Below are 11,927 nucleotides of genomic sequence, written 5' to 3' on the forward strand. Positions count from 1 at the left end.
TGTATACTGGCTCTGAGTCTAGAAAGCACTTGAAATATTGCAGGAATTGAAATTATATTACTGTGAATGTCTCATAGTGAACAACAGGGTGTCATGTGATGAAATTTTGTACCACAAAAATTTAGTTTACAAGCTGTGTTAGGCCATTCTTACATTGGCATAAAGAAATACCTGAGATGATAATTTACAAGAAAAGAGATTTAATTGGCTCACTGTTCTTCAGGCTATACAGGAAGCATAGTACCAGCATCAGCCTCTGGTGGGGCCTTAGAAAGCTTCCAATCATGTCAGAAGGCAAAGTGGGAGGAGCAGCGAGAGAGAGAGTTGGGGGTTAGCAAACACACACTTAAAACAACCAGATCTTGTGAGAATGCACTATCTCTAGGACAGCACCAAGCCATGAGGGATCTGTCCCCACGACTGAAACACCACCCACCAGGTCCCGTCTCCAACATTGGGATTACAATTCAACATGAGATTTGGCAGGAACCTATATTCAAACTACATCACAAACCATCAAATATAGAATGTGGTGAAACCTGATATGGAAATGATGTTAGATCTGTGTACTAACCATCTCTGTTCTACTTTCTATTTCACTTTTTCTTATGTTCTGAAGATTTTTCTTGTGTCCTCACCTAGAAAGTAAAGCCTGTCTTAGTTTGGATTGTCATAAAAACAGACCCTGAGATAAGGTTTTGAGTGTAAGTAGTTTATTGGAAAGTATGAGGATCCCTGATGGGAGCTGAGAAGGTAATATAAGGAGAGGAAGGCCATATGCTATCCAGTAGATGATTGAAGCTTACTGTTATGGGGGAAATCTGGGAAAATGTCCAAATGTCCAAAGGGCCAAGAAAATTGCTCTATAATGCACCAATTCTCAAGAGCCATAGTTTGAGGGATGCCCTTGGAGAATGTTTTCTCAGTATTTCATGCTTTTTGTATAGGAAGAACAGCAAAAGAATACCAGTTTCTAAAATCCCAGGAGAAACAGTCATCAGGCAGAGGCATTCGAAGGTCTGGAAAGTGTACTAGGAGTCATTCAGATATGGTGATGTCCACTATAAGGCCCTTAAAAACATGATTGTCCTATTCTTCTAAATCACAATTGTCTAAGGTAATGTAGAAAAGATGCAAAAAGCTGCCAGCTGTGGTTATTGACATTCTCAGTACTGCCAATTTGGTTCCAAAGAGCGCAGAGCACACTGTATATGGCAGAATTTGCTTTAGCATACCAGCACTTATGATTCATTGTCCTTGGCTTGGGATAGACTAGATAATAAAGAATGCTGTCACCCTGAAAAAGATGAAATTCTTTCCTTATAATATTCTCAGGACCAACCCTATTAACTTGTCAACATGACAAGGCATTATATAATAAAATGCAGACAGTCTGTATTTACTTTGAATTCTGAATGGAATGGACAAATCCCTGATATACAAGAGATGTGGAGAAAAATAAATGGGATTTGCAACACTTTCCAATGATTTAATGCTGATTTTTTCTGTTTCAGAAAAAGATCCTTTCACTGTCTTGTTTTCCCTCTGATGTGGGTATTTTATCTTAATAGAATTTTGTAAAATACTGACACCTTATAAAGAGGCAGACATTTACTGCTCTACTATGGTTTTTCATGGAGAACTGTCAAAATATGTTTTATGGTTCTTTATTTTTCTTTTCACACTTCTTTCTCAGTAATGTTCTCTTAGAAACCTGGCCCAAATTGAATTTTACCTTCCTTTGTACTTAGTGAAGCACAGCCCAAAACAGTTCTGATATGTCTCTTTCTATTTCTGGTAACCATAACTTTATGGCACCGTTATGTAATAAAGCTTTTCTCAAGGGAAAATGTGTGAAATATTTTTATTAGGAACTAATATAGACTATCACATGGGAGCATCAAGGGAATATGAGGTTTAAACCTCGCATCTCTGCTACTGTTAAATGTAGTAATGAATGGTCAATTTAACAGACTAAAATGTTTCTAGTCAATGCTATTTCCCACAATTAGTATGTTATCTGTACATCGTTCAACAAAGTAATCATTCTTTGTCAAAAAGTCCTATTTGAATATCAGGTTCTATACTGTACAGTAGCCCTTTTGCTCTAAGACAGCATTTTTGTATAAGAAAAAAATAGTAGTTTCTATTTTTAAGGATGTTATTCTTGACTTAGTTTCATTAACTCTGAAATAATCTATCAAGTCATTTGGATCACGTCATGAAACTTAAAGAGATGAACAGATAATAAAATATATCCCACACTGTAATGTACAGAACAGTGGTCCCAAATGTATGTTTATGTCTCAATCTCTAGAATCTGTAAATATGACTTTACATGGTATAAAAATGAATATTACTGTATATGGCAAAATATGATTGTGTTTAAGATCATTGTGTATCCTTAAACAGACAAAGTGACAGACACACAAGATGATATGAAGACTAAGACAGACATTGGAATAATGTGGCCACAAACTTCCAAGGAATGGTAACAGTCACCAGAAGCTAGACAAAGCAAGACATAGTGTCCCCCAGAGGCTGCAGAGGAAATGGGATCTTGCCGGCACCTTAACTTTGGACTTCTGGCCTCCAGAGCTGTGAGAATAAATTTTTGTTGTTTTAAGTGACCAAATTTGTGGTAATTTGTTACAGTAGCCACAGGAAACCAACACACCCTCTTTCCATTGGTAGAAGATAATAATGGAAATCATGTTGTAGACTTCACAAGTTTGAGGCCAATTAAAAGAAAATATGTATATGCTATACCTTTTGTTTGTTTTGGAACTTTCTATTTAATGTTGAGTAGATACAAAATAATTCTTATAAAATACATATAAGGAAAAAGAATCACAATACAACAAACAACTATGTACTCATCAGTCAGTTAGGAAATGAACATCATCATTTACTTGGTACCCCTCACCAATCCCATCCATAGCTCTTCCTTTTTGGATTAATCATTTATCTAATTTTTCTGTTTATCACTATTTTTAAAATAATTTTATTTGTATTTTTAAACAAGATATTGATTATTGTTGGATATTTTTTAATTTTATATTGATGAAATCATTGTATACTTCTGAAAGTTGTATATTTCTACTCAACATAAAATTCTGGAAATTCACTTATGTTGCTCCACATAATTTATTCATTTTTTTCTACTGTGTGATATTGCAGTATCTAATTATTAGACTAATGATATGGTTTGGCTGTGTGCCCACCCAAATCTCATCTTGAATTGTAGTTCCCATAATCTCCACATGTCATGGGAGGGATGTGGTGGGAGGTAATAGAATCATGAAAATGCTTCATGATTCTCTCTTGCCACCATGTGAAGGACATGAGCTTCCCCTTCCACCATGATTGTAAGTTTCCTGAGGCTTCCCTAGCCATGCTGAGCTGTGATCAATTAAACCTCTTTCCTTTATAAATTACCCAGTCTGGAGTATGTCTTTGTTAGCAGCATTAGAATGGACTAATACAACCCTAATTTATTTCTGCATTATATTGTTGATGGATTTGTGGTTTCTTTTATTTTGATATTAAAAAATCTTTGCTTCCCTATCTTGGTGAATTTGTACAAGATTTTGCTGCCATATATATCTACGAGTAGAATTACTTGTGTCATTGAGTTTAAATATTTCCAGGTAATTAGAATTTTTTTTAAAGCTTGAATCAAACTTCCGTAGAAGTAAACGATAGTTACAATTTCTCCAAATCTTTCTCAATAGTTTATATTATCAGACTTCTTAATGTGTGCCAAATGCTTGGTTGTGAAATGATATCACAATTTAGCTTGTTAATGCTTACATGCTATTATACATTTATTGGTCATTTGGGCATTATCCATCTTTGATAGTTTTATTAAAATCTCTTTATTAGTTTTTGTATTTGTGTTTGTTTATATTGATTTACAAGTATGCTTTATATTTTCTTAATTCTAATCCTTATTAGTTGCCTGTATTACAGATAACATCTCTCACCTGCTGTGCTCAGTTTTTACTTAGTTTTATAGTGTCTTTGTTTTTAAAAGTCTTATTTTAATGTGTAGAACAGTCTAACTTTTCATTTGTAATTGTTCTTGGGTCTTCTTTATGAAATTCTTTTAAAAAATGAGGTCTTGATTTCATCTTACAAATTTAGGTCTTTATTATATCAGGAATTTATTTTTTACATGTTGTATATGGTAAGAAATCTAATTTCATTTTTATTCCATATACGTTGACAATGATCCTGGGGGCATTTATTAATAGCTAAATAAGTAATTACTTTTATTTGTGATCTAATATAACAGCTCTACAATAAATAAAAATGCAACAATTATTGCATGGCTTAGTTATTAAACATCAAGAAACTATACAGGCCATTAATTCAGCCCATATATAGTTAGTGCTTAGGTTTCTTTGGTTCAAGCTAATATTTGAAGGCAGTATTTTAAATTCGTCTTTTTCCCCCTGGGATTTCAGAAAAATAACAAATTAATCTATTCTGTATGTGTGCTTCAAGAAAATAGTCATTTGTTTCTAGTAACTTGTGGTTTACTCTTTCATTCAAATTCAAGCATTTATTTACCACCATCTATATGAAACACTATATTACACAGTTCAAATATTACAGTAAATAATATTCCTGATCCTGGATTTCATTAACCTGTGATTTAACAGGAAAAATGGCCACTAAATGAGTTAATATAATGGCAACAAAAATAGTGAAAAAGAGATGTACACAGTGCTACCAAAGTGTATGTCAAAGTGGCATCAGTATTTTATATACTCATAAATGTGGAAAATTTGGGAAAACCTACCTTGGCCCTTTTAGAAAACCTTCCTAGTTGCCTGAGTAACATGGAAATGTTGCACTAGACTGTGATTTCTCCTATAAGAAAAATATTACTGCTATAAATATACATGCTTATTTTCCCCCTTACCATTAAAGCCATATTGTGAGGAAGTTGAGGCTTCATGCAGACATCACATGTGAAAAATCTCAGCCAGCCATGTGAAACCCCACAACAGCCAGCATAAATTGCCAGACATGTGAGTGAGTAAACCTCCGGCTGATTCCAGTCCCAGGTTGTCAAGTCAGTGTAGGCTTTTTAATCTTTCCAGCCATATCTGCTAGGTCTTGTCCAAATTCTTGATTCTCAAAATCCATGACAATAAAATAATTGTTTTAAACTACATTTTGAAGTTTTTTGTTATACAGCAATTGTAATTTGAGTGATTCTAAATTATACGATGAGCTTTGGAGAGAAGGAGATATGTATTGTAATTCTTTTATTCTTACATAGTCCACTATAGCAAGTAAGGGAGAAAAATTGCACTAAAATCTCATTAGTCCCTCTCTCAACCAAAGAGGAGCTCCATATCTTTGTTCATGGCTTTCTAATTCAGGGGCTCCAGTGATTTACAACCATTGCCCAAGTGGAGTCTTTAAATATGACCAATCTGTAGTAACTCCTGCTTGATGGGAATAAAAGAATTATAAACATGCCATCTCACTTTATCATCTACCCTCTTCAAAGTTATTAGCCAAATTAACTTTCAAGATTCAAGTCGAGACCTAGAAGGTGGAGAAGTTCCTTAAATCCTCTAACATAAGCCAATATTCTAACCCATTTCCACATTATTCCTAAAATTAGAGTTTGATGCTCAAATCCAATTATATTGGAGTGTGCTTCGGTTTTATTTGGCGCTCATTACCCTGTGATTTCAACTCTCTTGAGGCCTCCTTTGAGGGAAGGAGGGTGAGTATTAGTTAAATGGGCCTTTATGGGTCCATTAGTCAAATACGACTTACTATTTCTAACTTCACCACTATTTCAGAGTAAGCAGAGAGGATCTATTAACTTCTAATTGTAGACTTAACATAATACAAGTTAGTTGCTCATCAACTACCAACATTTATTATTTGGAAAAAACTGGTAACTGTAATTATGGTGAAGACAATAGCATCTAGAATTTGAGAACTTTCCATGTACCAGCCTTTTTCAAAACCACCTTGCATATGTTCTGTCTTCTGATAGCTCCATCACAACTATGAAGTAAGCATTAGATAATACTTTAAAGAGCATATTTTTATTTTGGGGCATGAGAAAACTAAGAAGGAATAATTTGTTTTAGGATGCACAGCTCGTGAGCAGCAGCACCAGAATAAATCTAAGCTATCTGATTAGAAGTAATTACTTCCTCACCTACATTTTCCTGAAACTGGAAGTAGATTGTTTGGGAATTATTGATTTTGTTGTTTGGGAATTATTGATTTTGTTGTTGTTCAAAGATTATTTCCACCTTCAAGCACATTCATGGTGACCAGTTTCTTACCCTGTTGGAGGACTAAATCTGGGTGTAAAAACTATTTTCATTTAGCAAGTACTTTCATTGTTGAAAGCTCAGCTTTAAGGTTTTCAGTACAAAGCATACATAGGGTTTGCTGAGGTCACATAAAGGATTTTGCCTGGCCAAACATAAAACCAATTTGTTTATCGTAAATTCAATTTTTTAATTATTTGGTTGATTATCTCTTGTAATGGATCAGCTGATGTGTCACTTCACAGGTGTTTGGACTTCAGATTGATCCAGAAAAAAGATTTAACCCCAGAATGAACATAATATTTATTCATAGAATAGAGTTGATGGAATTTAGTCACAGAACACAAAATGAAGTGAATTCCATGAGGCAGGAGATAACTGTATCAAATACATTGCCATTTCCAACAATAATACTGTTAGTTCTGATAAAATTTCTGATAAACTATACTGACAAAAAAATACACTGGGTGATCATATATGGTTGTTTTTTTCAACTGTAAATATTGCTGCATGCTGTTGACCACTGGTTAGACAGACTGCTTTATGGCATGTAGTTATTTTTTCTGTCTCACAGTTAAAGTTGTCTTTGGGAATTAAATAATGTTGCATCAGAGACCTTGAGTAAGTTTAGTATTTTTCCCTGCTACATAGAAATGTTTATGTTTTTCTGTCTTTTTTGATTATTTGTATTTATAGTAAACTTACTTAATGCATAATATGGTTTCCAGAAAAATTTGAGAAATGATTATTCCATATACCATTAAATGAAAAGCAACTATTAGTGGAATGTTTTGATTCCAAATCACATCAATTCAAGGGCTTTATGGACACTTCAGGAAACAAAATTTTAAAATTATATAAAAATGTTCAAATACAAAGTTTCAGAATAATATTGATATCTATTCTGGTAACAAAAAGACAGATTGCACAATTATATATCTCTTAGAGAGTGAGGAATTGGCTTGTATTATCTGCATTTTGAAGGCTACAACTATGTAAAAAGTTAAAATTCATAAACAGAATGATTTATTAATTTAAATACTACCAGAGATGCAATAAATGAAGATACTGAATGTTAATAATTGTGAAGTTTCAGCAAAAACATTTGATTAAATAACTAATTTTGAATTGGCTCCTCTGCTCCTATCTTCTCTTGAACTGACAATAAGTCTAGTATATGACGTTGAGTTCAAGGTAGGGAATAAGAGACAGAAATGACTGTATTCTTTGGCATATATGTAAAATTTGTCTTAGTTTTTAAGTGGAAAGTTTTATTTGACTTCTATTTGGAAAATTAAAACAGACAAGTGTCTTCCACCAGTCTTTTCCATTTTCATCCGACGCCAATGCAACTATTTTAAAAATTTTCTCTGGCCTATCTTTTCTTTTCCACTTGCATTATTTCATGCCTTTCTTCTCTGCCTACTCATTCCACTTGTCTTCAGAATGCACAACTTTACTTACTTACTTTTGAAAGTAGTGCATTGTAATAATGTATTTCAAGTATTTTTTATATATGCTACTATAAAAAGGGGAGAAAATAATTATTTTTAGTATTGAATGTGGACCAATAGACTGAACACAAAAAATAAATTTCAATCATTATAGATAACTGGTGGGGAAAAAAAGATTTCAGGGCAGTGAAATGATTCTGAATTGTAGACTGAGTAATATGTTTCTGGCCCTCTGGTATAAAAATATTGCTTTATAGTGAATAAGAAAAATAATATATTGTTATAATGACTCATAAGCTAAAGACCTTAAAATTTTAATGATGGTCTGGTTAATTCTTCATTATAAACCACTAAATTAGAAACTTTTATCATTATTTCCAACTAATATGAAGTTATTGGCAAAATTACTCCCCTTTTACAGATAGTGAAAACAATTTAAATAACTACAATGCTCTGACAGTGGTAGTTATTCAAATTATAGATTTTTTTGATTGTCAAAACAAATAGCAAGATTTTATTTTTTTCGGAAGAGTCAAAATTGCAAATGACAATAATGGAGAAATTAGCTTTGTGCAATTGTATTGGTCCAATTTGAGTCTCACATGCATTCATTCATTGAAGAATTGCATTCATTCAGCTGATATTCATTAAATATCTCCTGTGTCATATAGTGAAGATACAATGATGGACAAAACATAGCAATGTCTACACTTCTGAAATAATGAAGACCAGCATCAAGCAGGTTATCACAACTGGGAGGATTATCACAATTGTGCATGCAAAATTGAATGAGAGGGTAGTCTGACATCCACAGCACTTTAAAAAGAAGTTACATAGTATCACAACTCTTGGCAAAGATTCTAGGGAATTATTCTAAAGCTTTTTTAAAAAAAGTACGGAATATTTTAAATTTTATGTTATTAAAGTGTTACAAGGAGTGTCAGAAATATACTTAAAACATGAATTGACATTATCATAAACTTGTAATAAATACAGGCAAAAATTATTTCTAAAAGATACTTCATAACATTTATTAGCAATTTTCAGTTGATTTCCAAATCATTCTGTTCATCCTAAAGAGGCACTTGGATGCTAGAAAAGTTTCCATTTGTATTTTATTCCAAGGGTTTTACTTTGCTTCTATGCAATAGAGTTTATAAATTATGCCTTATAATATTTCACACTTGACAATTTGAGAAAGAGTTTATGTGGGAGATGGTAGTACACAGAGTTAGTCACTGATTTGTTTTTAAAAGCACCATTATCCTAAGAGTTGAAAACTCTAATAGATTAGGACTGTTCAAATTATGATGCATGATGTATTAATATCCTTGACATTTGTTAGAAAATGTTTTTTTGATAAAGGAAGTCACTAATAGCTGCCCACCCAATGTCAAATAAACCAAGCTTTTTTACTAACAGAAGAACATATTTCATTGCAGCAATAATATGATTAGCCAAAACTCATTTTCCAGCCTCCCATAAGCTAGAATAAGTTGTCAGTTCTGTTCCGGTCAATAAAACCTTAGAGGAAGACTTACGACTTCAGAAAAAGGCATTTCCTTATTCTTTCTGCTTGGAATTCAGATAGGACGGGCTGACTAGCCAGTTTTTAAAATTATTTGTATACATTTAAGAAGTACAAATGCACCTTTTGTTACATGGACTGTAGTGGTGAAGTCTGGGCTTTTAATGTAACCATCATCCAAATAATGTACATTGTACCCATTATAAGTAATGATGATCATTAGAGCAGTGGAGCAGAATTTAGAATGAATCTAGGAAATTGATAATTTGTGAACCTATGTAAGTCACTATAGATGGGACCTATTTTTTCCAAACAATATTTATTAAGCCACTGTAGTTGGGTATCTGTTGAATACAGCGGAACTCAAGCAATGACCAAATGAAGAGTTTTGTTACTATAGTAACCTATAATATGTTAAGTTTTAGTGGTTCTCAAAGAGACTTTTGGCCAAATAATCATTTTTTTCAAAGAATAATTGTTAACATATTAATAGATGACAGTAAAACCAATTTGTAAAAATGTATGACATTATCATGATTTTGTTTGATTCCAATGTTTATGTTCTTTCTTTTTCAAAGGCTTTGTTAAAGTCTAATTCATATTTTTAAAATATAATTCATATTTTAAAAAGTATAATTCATATTTTAAAAATTACACATATTTAATGTGTACACTTTGATGACCATCACCACAACCAAGGTAATAGACATGTGCAACATCTCTCAAAGTTTCCTTGTGTCCATTTATTTATTTAGTTAGTTTGTCTTGAGTGTATATGTGTGGGTGTATGTATGTAGTAAGAATACCTAAGATCTACCCTCTTAAATTTTGAAGTGCCTGATACCATATTGTTAACTATAGGCAGAATGTTATACAGGTCTTCAGAAATTACTCATCTAGCACAACTGAACTGTATGCCTATTGAACAACCCCCTATTTCCTCCACTCTTCAGCTCTTGTTGACCACTGTTGTATTTTTTGCTTCTGTAAGTTTGACTACTATAGATATCACATATAAGTGGAATCATGCAGTATCTGTCCTTTTGTGACTGGTTTGTTTCACTTATTATAATGTCCCTCAGGTCTATTCATGTTGCCACAGATGGTAGAATTTTCTACTTTTTTGAAGCTGAATATTATCTCATTGTGTGTGTATACCACATTATCCATTCACCTGTTGATTGACACTTGGATTGCTTTTATGTCTTGACCATTGTGAATAATGTTGCAATGAACAAGGGAGTGCGAACTCTCTTGGAGATTTTTATTTCAATTATTTTGGATATATACCAAGAAATAGGACTGCTGGATATTGTGGTAGTTCTATTTTTACTTTTATGAGGAGCCTCCATATTCTTTTCTAAAGCTGCTGGAAGAGTGTTTATTCCCATCAATAAGGTACAAGAGTTCCAATTTCTCCACATCCTCACTGACACCGATTTTTTTGGTTTGTTAGTAGCCATCTTGACAGGTGTGAGGTGATACCTCATTGTGGTTTTGATTTGTATTTCCTTGATAATTAATGATGTAGGGCATCTTTTCATATATATCTGTTGGCCATTTGTATGTCTTCTTTGAAGGAAAGGCTGCTCAAGTCCTTTGTCCATTGTTTAATGTTGCTTTTCTGTTATGTTATAGGTGTTCCTTATATATTTTGGGAGTTAACTCCTTATAAGTGGTTTGCTATAAGTTGATTTTCCATATGGTAAGAGATAAAGGACAAGTTTCATTCTTTACATGGCAGTTCAATTCTCCCAGCATCATTTATTGAATAGTGGGTCCTTACTCCAGTGTATATTTTCGACAACTTTATCAAAGATTATTTGGCTGTAGATATGTTGCTTTATTTCTGGGTTCTCTATTCTGTTCCGTTAATCTCTATGTCTACTTTAATACCAATATTATGCTGTTTTGATTACTATACCATTGTAGTATAGTTTGGATTCAGGTAATGTTATGCTTCCAGCTTTGTTATTTTTGCTTGAGATTGATTTGTTTATGTCTGGCCTTTTTTGGTTCCATATGAATTTTAGGGTTGTTTCTTCTAGTCTTTGAAAAATTATGTATTTTTTATGAATTGCATTAAATCTTTAGATATGATGATCAGTTTGGTGACTTTAACAATATTGATTCTTCCAATCCATGAGCATGGGATATTTTTCCATTGGCTTGTGTCATCTGCAATTTCTTCAGTGTTTTGTAGTTTTCCTTGTGGAGATCTTTCACCTCCTTGATTCAATGTATTCCTAGTATTTTATTTTTTGTAGCAATTTTAAATGGAATTGAATTCTTGATTTGGTTCTCAGCTTGATTGTTATTGGTGTATAGAAATGTTAAATTTTGTAAATCAAGTAAACCTGAAAGTTTATTGAATTCATTTATTAAATATAGGAGTCTTTTGGAGGATTTGTTATGGTCTTCTAGGTATAAGATTATATCATCCTTGAACAGAGATAATTTTACTCTTTCTTTTCCAATATGGATATCTTTTATTTATTTCTCTTGCCTGATTGCTCTGGCTGGGGCTTTCAGTACTATGTTGAATAGGAATGGTGAAGCTGAGCATTCTTGTCTTGTTCCAATTCTTAGAGGCAATTCTTTTAATTATTCCCTATTCCCTATTGGCTGTGA

Source organism: Homo sapiens, chromosome 4, assembly GCF_000001405.40.
Source record: "Homo sapiens chromosome 4, GRCh38.p14 Primary Assembly".
Lineage (NCBI taxonomy): Eukaryota > Metazoa > Chordata > Mammalia > Primates > Hominidae > Homo > Homo sapiens.